A 15,974-nucleotide genomic window follows, 5' to 3' on the forward strand; every position below is an offset into this window, starting at 1 on the left:
TTTTTTGCTTCTTTTTCTTCTCTTTTCTTTTCTTTTGAGATGGGGCCTCACTCTTTCACCCAGGCTGCAGTGCAGTGGTGTAATCACAGCTCACTGCAGACCTGACCTCCACGGCTCAAGCAATTCTGCCGTCTTGGCCGCCGGAGTAGCTGGGACTAGAACACACCACACCATGTCAGCTAATTTTTGTATTTTTTTGTAGAGAGGGGTTTTGCCACGTTGCCCAGCCTGGTCTTGAACTCCTGAGTTCAAGTGATCTGCCTGCCTCGGCCCCCCAAAGTGCTATTACGGGTGTGAGCCACTGCATCCTGTATTGTTTGTATTAGGCTTTATTAGTATTATTTTATTCAAATTTTTTGAAATAATTTTTTGTAGTGATGGGATCTGGTTTTGTTGCCAAGGCTGGTCTCAAAGTCCTGGCCTCAAGCGATCCTTCCACCTTGGCCTCCAGAAGTGCTCGGAGTATACGTGTGAGCCACCACGCCTGGCTAATGACTTTTTCAGAGCTGTTTTAGGTTCACAGGGAAATTCAGTGGACAGCACAGAGTTCCCCTAGACTCCCTCCCCACACGGCACAGCCTCTCCCCGCCCAGCATCCCCAGCAGAGCGGTGCACCTGTTCCATCAGTGAGCCTGCCTGGACATATCACCACCACCCAGAGTCCATGGTGTTCATTAGGGCTCGCTCTGGGTGTTGTACATCCTGTGGGTTTGGACAAAGGCCTCATGAGTATCCACCACTGGAGTATCATGGGGGATATTTTCACTGCCCCCCCCGAATCCTCTCTGCTCTGCCTATTTATCTCCCCGCCCCAGATGGTGTATTTCTTGGTCTAAATTTGGCAACTTCTAAATTCCTGATTTGAATCTTGAACTACAGAGGCATTGGGAGTCTCTGGTGACTAGTTGGTCTTAGTGATAGTACCACATCCTGAAGGCTTTGCTAATCTACAAAAGGGTGGGCCCTGATCCCAGAGCTTCCAGTTTAGTAGATCAGGGGTGTGGCCTTAGAGTTTGCATTGAAAAATAGACTTCATTTTATTTTAGACCAAGTCTCACTCTGTCACCCAGGCTGGCTGGAGTGCAGTCGCGCAATCTCGGCTCACCCCAACCTCCACCTCCCGGGTTGAAGCAATTCACTTGCCTCAGCCTTCTGAGTAGCTGCAATTACAGGTGTGCCGCCACCACGCCTGGCTAATTTTTTATTTTTAGTAGAGACAGGGTTTCGCCATGTTGGCCAGGCTGGTCTGGAGCTTCTGATCTTGGGTGATCTGCCTGGCTCAGCCTCCCAATGTGCTGGGATTACATGAGCACGAGCCGCCATACCTGGCCTTAGATTTCATCTTAGAATATCTTTCAAAAGTCTATAGAGCTCGCCAATGCTCTGCACCATTTCCCCCACTGTTCACATGGTTCTTTAATACGGCACATTTGCCACAAGCGATGAGCTGACTCTGTATATTGCTGTGAACTCAGGTGCCTATTTTATTGAGACCTCCTCAGTGTTGATACGATGGCCTCCTCTTCCTTCTTTTCCATCCAAGGCGCCACATTGCCTTGAGTTGTCATGCCTCCCTAGGCTCCTCTTGGTGAAAATTTCTCAGATTTTACTTGTTTTAAATAACCTGAGCATCTGCATTTTCAGTGATGCTGATGCTGCTGGTCTTGGGAGGGTATTTCATGAATGGCTGGTTGAGCTCACAGAGGCAGAGACCAGAGATCCTCAGAACTCCGGAAATAGGCTGGATTCATTTATTAAAGTTCACTGTTGTGACACCTCGGTTCTTGTCTTCTTAATTTAAAGGAATGTAAACAATAGACACACAGTAAAAGAGATGCAGCATAGAGTAATTCATTGCAAAGGAATAAGAAAATTTTGAAAGGTAAGGGCAGAATAGACAGGACACCCTGAGAGAGTGGATTTAAGGCTGGCTGCTCCTAAGGATAAGATAGCAAAGACCTGCTCAAGAGCGACTCCCTTTCTCCATCCCCAGACAATTTTGAAACATATTGATGCCTGACTCTCACCCTCAAGAGATACGAGTTTGAGTCGATACTTGGAAATCAGGTTTAAAAAATTTTTCCAGGTAATTCTAATGTGCAACAAAGGTTGAGAACCACTGGTGTACAGTATAAAGAGAAATTTCTAGCATCTCGCTTCATTTACTGTAACCTCGTGGCCCTCAAATTTTTAATGTGCATATAATTCACCCTCAGATCTTGTTAAAATGCAGGGTCTGATTCAGTGACAGGCTCCAGGTGAGGCACATGCTGCTCGTCAATAGACCCTCATTTCAGTGGTGAGGAGGCAGTCTCCTCTGGGTTCCAGCTTTGCATCAACTGAGCAAAATCTTACCATCTCTTACTGCTCAAGTCAGCATCTTGAGGCCAGTGTCTGATAAGTGCATTTGAAATATTCAATCCTTCTGGTTTCTTACCCAGAATGCTACACTAAGTGTTTTATTTCTCCCACATCCGCTCCTACCCAACGGCTTTCCACCCATTATCACATGGCAGCCATACTGAGTATGAAAGTGAGCAAATCTAATCCTGCTGTTACACTCTTTACATTTTATTTTCTATGGATTCTATTCTTTTTAGCAAAAAGACCATGTGCTTTATGTGGCCTAAGCTATTCAACTAAATGACCACTGATCCCAGCACTTTGGGAGGCCAAGGCAGGCAGATCACGAGGGCAAAAGATCAAGACCATCCTGGCTAACACAGTGAAATCCTGTCTCTACTAAAAATACAAAAAATTAGTCAGGTGTGGTGGCATGCACCTGTAGTCCCAGCTACTTGGGAAGCTGGGGCAGGAGAATCGCTTGAACCCGGGTGGCAGAGATTGCAGTGAGCCAAGATCGTGCCACTGCACTCCAGCCTGGGCAACAGAGCTAGACTCCGTGTAAAAAAAAAAAAAAAAAAGACCACTGATGACCCTTGTGACTGTCAGTCTCTGTTACCCTCCGTACTTCAGGAAGACCCTTCTGTATTCAGTGACTGACTGGGGGTGCCTTTCTCCATGATGTTTAATTTTTTTGAATGGGGGATGTCTATGGCCCATTTTTGGTGCTTTTCTGTGTAGTTGAAGATACACTAGTTTTGGACTTTTGGCCTTTATCCACTTTCTAGCGTATTCTTTCTCTGGGGAAAAATGATTGGGAGTTTCGAAAGAGAATCTGCATTGAGAAGCTGTATCAGTCAGAGTCCAATGAAGAGAAAAAAACCCACAGCAATTTGCACAAGCAGCATTTAATATAAAGCAGGGGCTGGCACACGATGGCCTGCTACCTTCAATAGCCCACAGCTAGAAAATAGTTTTGTGTGTGTGTGTTTTACAGGGTCTTATTCTGTCACTCAGGATGGAGTGCAGTAGCATGATCATAGCTTACTGAAGCCTTGATCTCCTGGGCACCAGCTTCCAGCAGGTGATTGTGTTAAGTGAAATAAGCCAGTCCAAGTTATCCTGCCCGCTCAGCCTGGCTAATTTTTAAATGTTTTTATAGAGACAGTGTCTCACTATGTTGCCCAGGCCAGTCTCAAAGTCCTGAGCTCAATTGATCTTCCTGCCTTGGCCTTCCAAAGCGCTGGAATTACAGATGTGAACCAGCACACCTGGGCAAGAATTGTTTTTTATATTTTTAAAGTGTGGTAATATGAGCAAACCAGAGAAGAATATCCAACATAGACCAAATAGCCTGCAAAACCTAAAATATATATTCTCTGCTCCTTTGTGGAAAAAAGCTTTCTGACCTCCAAAATAAAGATTTATTGACCACAACATGGGCCTAACTATAAAGAAAAAAGAATTCTGAAGGATACCTAGGGAGGAAGGTTTCTCAGAGGAATGGGAATCCATTGACAAATTTTAAAGAATGGAGCAGCACAATTGGGTTTACCTAATTTAAAGCTCAACATGCCTGTCAAGTGATAATGGATTGGAGGGTGCTGGGTAAGAGAGGATATGGGAGCAATCAAGATTCTCTTATGGTTTTCTGGGAGAGAAAAAGGAGAACTGATGGATTCAGGTGCACCTACCCAAACCTGGCTTGAGCAGGTGAGAGGCTGTAACAACGCAAAGGTTGGGGCCGCCCAGGAGAAAAAGGATTACACCACCCAAAATTGAGTTTGAATGTTAAGACTGAGGACACACACATACCCACACTCCAAGAGGGTATGAAGCTTATTACATAACAGGATTTCTGAAGAGAGCAGAGTGGGCTTTCCCAAGCTGGTCTGAATGTGGCTTGAGAGGGCAGAGAAAGGAGGCTGGTTTGGGGTTGGGGTTTTATGGTGCTTAGGGGATGGGCCACAGCCAGGGGTACTGCACAGGGTTTGAACTCCCCACTGGCACTAGAAGAGGGAGTACCCAGGTTTTCTAATCAGCTTGTCCAGCTGTGGGGTGATAAGAAACAAACATCAAACATGGTCAAACTTTTAATAATCCCAAGGAAAGAGCAAGTCAAAAGTGGAGGTATGAACCTCAACGTCTGGGTGAGGCCTCTGGTTGGGCAAGGGTGGGACCATGGTCACCAGGGGAAATAGGAGGCAGCCTTCTGGGGTCCAGGGGCCAAGGCTGGTGGCTGGAGTATGGAGAGGCCTGTGGTAAGGCAGCCACAGGCAGGAGCTGGGGTCGTGAACACGCCAGGGGGCCCCATTCACGTGGGGCTGACAAGGCCATAACAGGAGCAAGAAGAAAGACAAGATGGCGGCGCAGTGGCGCCTCTTCCTCCTGGGATATCCCTCCCACCCCCTCTAGTGGCAGAGCCTAGCACTGCGCTCCCTGCAAAGTTGCCAGGACAGCTCCGTGATTGCAGGGCCGGCACTGAACCTGTGGACTTAGAAGCTGGGAGGCAATTGACTGGTAACTGACACAGAAGCCCTGTTCCTTTCCCTTGCAGAGGTGTGAGCCTATAGGTTCAGTTACTCTGGAGGCTGAGGTGGGAGGATCACCTGAGCCTGGGAATTTTGAGCTGTGATTGTGCCACTGCACTCCAGCTTGGGTGACAGAGCAAGAGGCTGTCTCAAAAAAAAAAAAAAAAAAAGTCCTCTGGATGGTCAGAAGAGCAACAGAAGGTGGGCAGGGAGGAGGGGTGGAGGGGGAGAGAAAAAAAGATGGAGAGAGAAATTTGTGGACCCCAAGAATATAGCTCACCTAGAAAGGTTGGAACACCTGAAATGGAAGTAGTGGCTTGTCCGCAGGATCATAGAACTTGTAAAAGAATCCCGTGCACCAAATAAAGCACGCAAATAACAGGAAAATGCCAGAAAGCTGAACACCTGGGTGGCAGTCTGTGCACCCCAGTGAAGGGACGTGAACAAGTGGCTCCCATCGGTGTGCTGGCAAGACACACACTGGCTGGAGGTGAGGGTTGTGATATTAAGGACTGAGGTGAACAGTTTTGAACGTTGGGATGTCAACAGAATGAGGACGCGTGGGGAGACGTTATCCGGTGTTACAGACACTAAATACATTTTTTTTTCTTACAATAAGAAGTTGAAGATCTGAGTGGATGAGAACTGGAGAAAGTAGGGATGCAGTGTCTCTTCGTCAATTCAGGTTTTGCACGGGGTAAGGTGGCTGTGTCTAAGCCGGTGCCACTAGCATCATACGCACCCAGCTTATGTTAAAAATTTAAAGTTAGAATGATTTTATAGCTAATTTGTATAGTTATGACAGATGTCCAGCAGATGGCAGAAAAGATCTTGTTCTAACAGATAACAGCTAGATGGTTCTGCTTCTGTTTGACATTAAACATAACCAAAGCGTCAAACAACAGAAAAGGTTATCTAACTGATATACCAGTGAATGAGCATCTTTTTTTTTTTTTTTAAATAAGTCTTCCTCTTCTGTTAGTGTGAGGCTAAATTTGGTGGTTCATATGATGGTTCACTCGATCTGACATTTTTTTCTTGTACTCTACTAGAATGTATATTTAAATTTTATAATGAAATATTTTATTATTATACAAATCATTGTTGTTGGTCCCAAAGTATTACATAAACTTTGGTTGCTATATATAATTACATTCTAATTAGTGTATAGACTATTTTATTTATTATACAATTTCAGGAGGAGACCAATGTTTTCATCATCTTACCTATTAGTTGTAACAAATTCTAGGATAAACTGCTAACATTATTATATTATTTTTTCTGGTGTCAAATGAGGTCTTTGTAGCATGTGTCACAATGTCCTCCCTTTGGAAAGGGGAATAATATTCCATTGTACAGATGGACCATATTTTGTTTATCTATTCCTTCAGTGAACGCTTGGGTAGCTCCTACTTCTGAGCTATTGTGAATAACGTTGCAATGAACATAGGAGTATGAGTTCCTGCTTCCAATTTTTTAGGTACATAAGCAGAAGTGGCATTCCTGGATTATATCGTAATTCTATGTTTAATTTTTGGGGGGGGCTGCCATGCTGTTTTCCTTGTGTATTAACAGTATACCAGGGTTCCCATTTCTCCACATCCTTGGCAAAATTTGTTATTTTCTGTTTTTTGATAGCAGTGGTGTGGTTTTGATTTACATTTCCCTAATTATTAGTGAGGTGGAGTGCCTTTTCTTGTGTCTGTTGGCCATTTGTAGACCTTCTTTGGAGAAATGTCTAAGTTCTTTGCCCATTTTAAAATCATGTTGTTAGTGTTTTGTTGTTGAGTTAGCGTTCTTTATATACTCTGGAGATGAACCCCTTTTCAGATATGTAATGTGCGAATATGGTATCCCCCTATTCCATTGGTTGCTTTCACTCTGTTGATTGTGACCTTTGATGCAAAAACTGTGAGTTTTAAAATATATATTTTAAAATATATATTTTCTTATTACAATTTTATTTAGGAATAAGTGAGGTACAGTAAATGGCACGTTATCAGTTTATGATTTGTCGTGTTCTGACATTTTCACAGGCTTTCTGCATTTTTAAAGCTGCTCCCATTGGAAACAGGAAAGGAACTTCCATTTTAGTTAGGAAAGCTTTTGAATAATATTTAGATAGTCCAAAAAATACACAAAGTGATATATAACCTACAATTCCAAGAACGTCAATATTGAGCAAAGCGTGGACAATAGCCGGCTGAGCGCACAAGGTGGGGAGTGGGGAGGGAAGCTATGGATTTGCCTGTGGTAGGGAAGACTTTGCCCAGTCAGCCACAGAGAATTAGAAAGTCTGCCGCCCGCTGCTGCCCACGAGCAAACAGAAAAACAAAAAACCCAACCTGCCTCAGTGCTCACAGGCCGACTCTGTGCCGTAGCCCAGTGCAACTCTCCACCTGCCATCTCACTGTTTCACTCCCTCTAACGGGTCCACGTTGATTAATTCCCAAACCCCTCTTGCCTGTGACCCAACGTGGTTTTTCCCTTTGGCTTTTTTTTTTTCTCCCTCAAAGAAGCTGTTTTTCTTGCCAGCCCTGAGATGGGTTGAATAAACTGATCATAATTACACAGCCTACCTGGACGGATGAAAAACATGGTGTCGTCTATTCTCAGGGTCCCTAGGAGGGTTGTTAGGGTGGTTTTAATGAGTCCCAAAGCACCTGGCTCTATTTCTGCCCGTTGAGCTGCTAAACTGGCATCAAAAAGTTAACTCTGAGGAGGCAGAAAACATGATTTGTTAACTGCTGGCCTCAAGGGTGACTTGATTTATTTCAGGGCTTATTTAAAAAACAGTAATTATTGCCTGTTTCCAATCCTGAAGATAACATACATGCATGTAGTGAATACATTTGGAAATTGTATTCCCATGAAACTTTTAATGAGATATTTGAATAGAACTTGTTAAGTAGCTGGTAAAGTTCAGAAGAGAAAATGCACACACACTAAAAAACTAGAAACACAATAAAAAGAAAGAACAGTCAGGAGGAAATGCTTTAAAATACAGAAAAAAGGATAATGGAGAATATATGTCATCCATAATCCCACCATAAAGAGAGGATTTTAAATTTTTTGTTGTTTTGTTTGTTTGTTTGAGACAGGGTCTTACTCTGTTGCCCAGGCTGGAGTGCAGTGGTGCGATCATAGCTCACTGCAGCCTTGACCTCCTGGGCTCAAGCAATCCTCCCTCCTCGGCCTCCTGAGTAGCTGGGATTATGGGTGCACACCACCACACCCGGCTAATCTTTTGTGGTTTTTGTAGAGACAGAGTTCTGTCATGTTGCCCAGGTTGGTCTTGAACTCCTGAGCTCAAGTGATCCTCCCACCTTAGCCTCCCAACCAAAGTGCTGGGATTACAGAGTAAGCCACTGTGCTCAGCCTGTATTTTTAATATGTAGTGCATGTCCTTACATTTTTCAGGTGTGTGCGTGTATACATATATACATACATGCATTATATATATTGTATATACACATATCCACAGACACGTATTTTAAGATGCAGAAAAACGGGGGAGACACTGAGGAGATTTAAACATGGGTGTGGCATGATTCAAATTTCATATCATTCTGGCAGTTAGTGTGGAGACAGATATAGGGGCAGCCCCTGGTGGCAGGGACCAGTGGGCAGGTCACCCAGGGCTTGATCCCTGACATCCAGTCGTGTGACGATTGTGTCCTGAGTTCAGGGAAGGGCTGTTGATGAAGCAGAAGAAATGTTTGAGAAGCACTGGAAAAATCCGGAGCCACCTGTTTTGCGATGGATTATCTGTTGCAGATAGTGGTGAAAAAAAAAAGCAAACAGGTGGTTCTGGGATCCCCCCGAAAGGGAAACCCAAGATGAGGAGCTGGTGGGAAGGGGAAATTAAATGCTCATTTAACTTAACATGTGGGATGTCCAGAGGTGTATTTGCCATCAGGGGAATACCTGCGTAAGGGCTCTGGAATAGACACCTGACTTGGCTATCATTTCTAGCGGGGTTAGATAGCCCCTCAAAAGACAGAGTGTGGAGAGAAGAGCCACATGTCAGGCTTAGGTCCAAGAGGGGCGAGTTTGCAGAAGGAGTGATGGCAGGAGAGCGGGGAACCAGGGGCATCCCAAGTTTGGACAGAAGCAATGTGAATGGACACGAAAGGAGAGATTCGAGTGAGATTTACACGTTAGAATCCCTGGAACCAGGTGACTGATCAGGGCTGGGAGAACAAAGGGAGGCAGGTGGAGATGAACCCAAGGGCTGATCTCCACGTTCCCAACAGATGTCACGGGAGGATACAGAACACTTGTCCCTGGGATATGGACTGCAGTGTCCCTGCAGTACTAAACAGACCATTGGTATGTGGGAGCGAGATGCCCACCATTGTTACCTGGCTGAAGAGCTGGTCCCCTTTCACACCTGGCTCCTGCCTCCCACCACTGCCCATCTTCTTAGACACAGGCGCCGGGGGACTCTGCAAGCCTTTCACACCTGGCTCCTACCTCCTACCACTGCCCATCTTCTTAGACACAGGCGCTGGGGGACTCTGGAAGCCTTTCACACCTGGCTCCTGCCTCCCACCACTGCCCATCTTCTTAGACACAGGCGCCGGGGGACTCTGCAAGCCTTTCACACCTGGCTCCTGCCTCCTACCACTGCCCATCTTCTTAGACACAGGCGCCAGGGGACTCTGCAAGCCTTTCACACCTGGCTCCTGCCTCCCACCACTGCCCATCTTCTTAGACACAGGCGCCGGGAGACTCTGCAAGCCTTTCACACCTGGCTCCTGCCTCCCACCACTGCCCGATCTTCTTAGACACAGGCGCCGGGAGACTCTGCAAGCCTTTCACACCTGGCTCCTGCCTCCCACCACTGCCCGATCTTCTTAGACACAGGCGCCGGGAGACTGCAAGCCTTTCACACCTGGCTCCTGCCTCCCACCACTGCCCGATCTTCTTAGACACAGGCGCCGGGAGACTCTGCAAGCCTTTCACACCTGGCTCCTGCCTCCTACCACTGCCCATCTTCTTAGACACAGGTGCTGGGGGATTCTGCAAGCCTTTCGCAGGTTCCCAGGACTCAGCTCCCACCCGCCTCTTGGTGCTATAACAGGGTAGTGAGGGGGTGTGGTTTCAGCACAACCAAGCTTATCTCTTCTGTGAGCCTTTTCTGGGCCACCAATAGAGTCTTCCATAAATACTGAGCACTGACTACGTATCAGGTCTCGTGTGGGCACAAGGGACACTGAGAGGAAATGGAGTCCTTGTCCTTGAAGGTCTCACCTTCCAGTGTGGGGGTGACGGACACGCCTTCCAGTGTGGGGGTGACGGACACGCCTTCCAGTGTGGGTGTTGACAGACACACCTTCCAGTGTGGGGGGTGACAGAGACGCCTTCCAGTGTGGGGGTGACGGACACACCTTCCAGTGTGGGGGGGTGACAGACACACCTTCCAGTGTGGGGAGTGACAGACACACTTTCCAGTGTAGGGGGTGACAGACACGCCTTCCAGTGTGGGGGGTGACCGACACGCCTTCCGGTGTAGGGGGTAACAGACACACAAACACACTTGCTGTGGTTTTTGAAGATGATCACAACACTCTCCCATCTGATCTGTTCAAATGTGTCAGGTCCTCATCAAGAGGTGGAGTTGGATTTCCATCCCCTTGCATCTGGGCAGGGCTGTGACTTGCTTGTCTCCAACAGAAAGTGGCAGAAGGGACATTGCGTGACTCCTGAGGCTAGGTCAGAAAAGACGACACAACCTCCCCCTTAAGTGCACGAAGGCCTCAGTTCCCCTCAGCTGTCCCATTGTCCAGAGGCTGCCATGTTGTGAGGGAGCCCCACCTAGCCCACGACACACGGAGAGGACCTGAGACAGCATGAGAAGAGAGAGCTGGTGGGTGGGCCCCAGCTGTTTCAGTCACCTGGAGATCCAGCTCTAGTCAGCACAGAAGAGACCCTGAGCCTAACCACCCAGCTGAGCCCACCACCGATTTCCTGACCCACAGAGATACTAAAAGCACTGTTGTTCTGAGTCACTGAGTTTTGGGGTGATGTGTTATACAGCTACAGATAACTGGAACAGCATTGTGTCTTCCCACCCTGTACTTATTTTATTAATTTTTTTTTTAAAATAGAGATGAGGTCTTACCATGTTGCCCAGGCTGGTCTGAGCAACATGGTAGAACCATGAACTTCTGAGCTCAAGCAATCCACCAGCCTCGGACTCCCAAAGTGCTGGGATTACAGATGTGAGCTACCGCGCCTGGCTGCACCCTGTAATTCTGATCTTACCCTCTTCTTACCTGGACCCTCGTACGATTTCCCTGGGATCTCAGTCTCTAGAATTCAATCAGCCTTTTCTTTGGGATTTGGTTCCTGTTCATGCCTCTCGTTTACCCGTTCTGTCCTCTCTGCCCCTTTTGTTTATTGAGAGGCACTTGTGAGATCTATGGAGGTATGCTTGTGGCGTGTGTACTAAAAATTTTAGTGGCAGAAAATTCATGTGTTTGAGTAGCTAAAAATGGATTTTAAGGGAGTTTCATACTCAGGATTTGTGTGCATGCCAAGCAGCTTATCTGAAAGTAAATGAAAAAGTTGACCGGGCACGGTGGCCCACGCCTGTCATCCCAGCACTTTGGGAGGCCAAGGCAGGTGAACTGCTTGAGTTCAGGAGTTTAAGATTAGCCTGGGCAATGTAACGAAACCCCATCTCTACAAAAAATATAAAAATTAGCTGGGCATGGTGGCACTTGACTGTGGTCCCAGCTACTCAGCAGGCTGAGGTGGAGGCTAGTTTAAGCCAGGGAAGTCGAGGCTGCAAATGAGCTGTGATCGTGCCCTTGCACGCCAGCCTGGGTGACAGAGCGAGACCTTGTTTTAAAAAAATAAAAATTAAAAAATTGTTAAATGCTATAAAAAATGTTTTTAAAAAGAAAAAAGTTAATAAAAATAACAATGAAACAATATCGGCAAGGAGAACACCACTAACTTCAGGTTTGAGCCTCTGCTCTCAACTAGCAAAACTTTTCTAAGCTCTGTAATATCTACCAACCATGGACATATTAGAGAATATTTTGGGAAATATATAGATTTTGTTTTAGTAATTAAATATTTTTTTACTTTTTTTTTTTTTTTTTTGGAGACAGTTTCACTCTTGTTGCCCAGGCTGGAGTGCAATGGTGCGATCTCGGCTCACTGCAACCTCCGCTTCCAGGGTTCAAGCAATTCTCCTGCCTTAGCCTTCCTAGTAGCTGGGATTACAGGCATGTGCCACCACGCCCGGCTAGTTATGTATTTTTAGTAGAGATGGGGTTTCTCCATGTTGGTCAGGCTGGTCTCGAACTCTCGACCTCAGGTGATCCGCCCGCCTCGGCCTCCCAAAGTGCTGGGATTCCAGGCATGAGCCACCGCGCCTGGGCTTTTTTTTACATTTTTTTAATTTCTTTTTTCTTTTTTTTCCCTCTGGTGTTGAAACTAATATAATTACATATTTTAATGTGCAGTAAAATATCAGTAGGACAAAAATCTGCAATTTTATTGTATTTAGGTATTGCTTAGGATAAAGCTACAGTGACCATCTAAGTAAACAAGTTAATATGTTTGAGGAAAATCAATCAATAAAAAGTAATACTAAGGATACACATGGAATTGACAAAAAACTAGGAGGTGGTACTTTCTTGAGAGAAGCTTGGGAAGCCCTGAGCTAGAAGATATTTTTCTTTTAATTTATAAACATTTGGAGAGCACTCTTTTTTGTAAAAATTACCTCACTTAAACTCCACAACCAACTGCAAGAAACTGTTACACTCATTTTATAGAAATGGAAAATGTGGCTGGGCGTGGTGGCTCATGTCTGTAATCCCAACACTTTGGGAGGCCGAGGCGGGTGGATCATCTGAGGTCAGGAGTTCAAGACCAGCCTGGCCAACATGGTGAAACCCCATCTCTACTAAAAATACAAAAATTAGCCAGGTGTGGTGGCAGGCACCTGTAATCCCAGCTACTTGGGAGGCTGAGGCAGGAGAATCTCTTGAACTTGGGAGGCGGAGGTTGCAGTGAGCTGAGATTGTGCCACTGCACTCCAGCCTGGGTGACAGAGCAAGACTCTCAAAAAAAAAAAAGAAAAAAATAAAATGTAGGGAGCTTAAGTGACAGAGACAGGAATTAAGTCCAAAGCCTGGCTGATGGCCAAATTGATGTTGTCTACAGGATATGGTACTGATCTCCCAGTGGTAGCTCAGGGGCTGTGACATTCCTAGAACAGGCATCTAATCTGCCTCCATTAATCATGGAGGACTTCCTGAAGGAAGTGACATCTGAGCTGGGACTTTCCCTTAGCTCAGGGACATCTTTCTCCCAAGCATGGCCCCCACTGGTGAATGAAACCTAATTTTCTTTAGAGAGAACCCTGTTATCTGTCCAGTATTCCCCAGAAGAGGCTGGATAAAGCACAGATAGCTGCCTGACTTGAAAGTGTCTTTCAGGACTGGATCAGATCCAGGAGCAAATTGAGAGAGAGAGGGAGAGAGAGAGGGAGACAGAGAGAGAGAATCAAAATACAACTGAAAAGTGTATTAGGGGAGAAAAAGGGGAGAAAAAGAGATTATTTCTTCAGACTAATATCCTGTTTGGAAACACCAAAAACTGATATTATTGAAAATTTCACATGTAAAATAAAGAGCTTAAATAACAATTCAAGTCTAAAGTTTGGCTATCACAATTTTTCTTTATTTTTGTTTGTTTATTGAGGTATAACTTACATATAGTGAAGTGTACAATTCTTAAGGTTACAGTTTAATAAATTTTTACATATGGATAGACGGATAGATTCACATAACTATGACCCAGATAAGAAGACACAATATTTCCAGTACCTCAGAAGTCTCCCTCTTGCCCCTCCAATCTGTGCCTACCTACAGGTAACCACTTTTCTAACTTTTTTTTTGAGATGGAGTCTCACTCTGTTGCCCAGGCTGGAGTGCAATCTCAGCTCTCTGCAACCTCTGCCTCCCTCCCAGGTTCAAGTGATTCTCCTGACTCAGCGTCCTGAGTAGCTGGGGTTACAGGCGCCTGCCACCATGATCGGCTAATTTTTGTATTTTTTAGTAGAGACAAGGTTTCACCATGTTGGCCAGGTTGGTCTGGAACTCCTGGCCTCAAGTGATCCACCCGCCTCAGCCTCCCAAAGTGCTAGGATTACAGGCATGAGCCACCGTGCCCGGCCCACTTTTCTAACTTCTATCACCATAAATTAATTTTGACTATTTTAGAGTTTCATAAAAGTTGTATGTTACAGTATGCAGTCTCGTTTCTAATTTTTTTTTTTTTGTTTTTTTGTTTTTTTGAGACGGAGTTTTGCTCCTGTTGCCCAGGCTGGCGTGCAATGGCATGATCTTGGCTCACTGCAACCTCTGCCTCCTGGGTTCAAGCAATTCTCCTGCCTCAGCCTCCCAGTATCCCAAGTAACTGGCATTACAGGCACCCACCACCATGCCCGGCTAATTTTTTTGTGTCTTTAGTAGAGACGGGGTTTCACCATGTTAGCCACACTGGTCTCGAACTCCTGACCTCAAGTAATCCACCCACCACAGCCTCCCAAAATGCTGAGATTACAGGCATGAGCCACTGCGCCCGGCCCTGATTTTCATTCAACATTATATTGATAAAAGTCATCCATGTGGTTGTATGTATCGATAGTTCATCCTTTTTATTGCTGTGCAATATTCCATTGATTTATTTATCCATTCCTTGATTTATTTATCCATTCTATTGTTGACGGACACTTGGATTATTTCCAACGTTTATCTATATGGGTAATTATGCTGTAAGTCGTTTTGCATATGTCTTTTGGTAGAAACAATACTTTTTTAAAAACAAATTTAGTAGATTATAAATTCCTTAGTGATGGGTAAGGTAGGAGTATGTATTACTGAACATAGAGACACTTGGTAGAGACTCCTCACATGCACATCTGAATGATGCCTTGGGACTAGGCAGTGATCCTTTGCCCTTCTTGGGGCCAGGCATACCTCCAATGACTTGGTAACAGCTTCAACTCTTCTTCCAAGAAGATTGCCCACATACTCAACATTTAGCATTGGGCTTCTGGAATGTGGTGATATCTAAGGTTCTTCCAGCTTTGGCCTACATGAGACGGTGAGCTGGGTGAAGTGCATTTTAAGGGCAAGCGCTGAGCTCCAGCTTATGAGGAATAGCCCTCCAATGTGCCAGGAACATGTTATGTGCCCTCTGGAACAAATAATATTTCACTTTTCCGAAAGCCAGAGCTTTGGGATCCCAGATCTAGTAAGAATCATCTTATTCATCTTCCTTTCATCTCCAAGCCAGAAGGAGGCTCGTTGAATTTACAGGGATGGAGTTGCAAAGGGCATTAAGGAATCCTGCATCTATGCTATCAGGACCTACCAGTCCCAAGTGGCTTTGATAGATAAAATGTTCTGAGTGCCTTAACCCAGAAAAACTGCAACTCTAGACCCTGGATGTTCTAAACGACGCAATCAGAACATCTTCCCATATTCTTTGGAAGAAACTCTAACACTTTCCTCTTTCTACTTCTACCTAAAACATCTGAAAGAAGGGAGGCGAGAGAGGAGAGAATTATGCATTTAAACAAAGACAAGGAATTGCGAAAATCACCATTTTTAAAGAAGTATAGATTTCATAAGAACCTCTGAGATGATGATAATGCATGATAATAACATGTAATAACAATAATTATAATAGTATTATGCTTCTATGAGCCATATAAATATTATATGCTATACATATTGCTAAGTGTTTTACAACCTTCACCTCATTTATTTCCCCCTAAAAGTCTATGATTTTATGTAAGAGGAAAATGAAGCTCCAAGAAAAACTTTTTTTTTTTTTTTGAGATGGAATCTCGTTCTGTCACCCATGCTGGAGTGCAATGGCATGATCTTGGCTCACTGCAACAGCACTATCTTGGCTCACTGCAACCTCCGCCTCCCAGGTTCAAGCAACTCTCCTGCCTCAGCCTCCTGAGTAGCTGGGATTGCAGGCACCCGCCACCTCACCCAGCTTAATTTTTTGTATTTTTAGTAGAGATGGGGTTTCACCATGTTGGCCAGGCTGGTCTCG

General features: G+C 45.1%; 1 protein-coding gene and 1 long non-coding RNA gene across 22 annotated transcripts in view; both read right to left on the reverse strand.

The window, feature by feature from the left end:
• Positions 1-15,974, reverse strand: part of ZSCAN5A (zinc finger and SCAN domain containing 5A) — a 146,976-nt gene that overhangs the window by 26,940 nt on the left and 104,062 nt on the right. The gene's annotated exons all lie outside the window — the stretch shown is intronic.
• Positions 6,817-12,726, reverse strand: LOC124904775 (uncharacterized). The gene is made up of 2 exons (XR_007067350.1): positions 9,412-12,726; positions 6,817-9,267 (listed from the first exon to the last, which is right to left on the reverse strand). It is a non-coding gene; the product is annotated as an uncharacterized LOC124904775 (long non-coding RNA).

This window comes from Homo sapiens, chromosome 19 (assembly GCF_000001405.40).
Source record: "Homo sapiens chromosome 19, GRCh38.p14 Primary Assembly".
In the NCBI taxonomy this organism is placed as follows: Eukaryota; Metazoa; Chordata; class Mammalia; order Primates; family Hominidae; genus Homo; species Homo sapiens.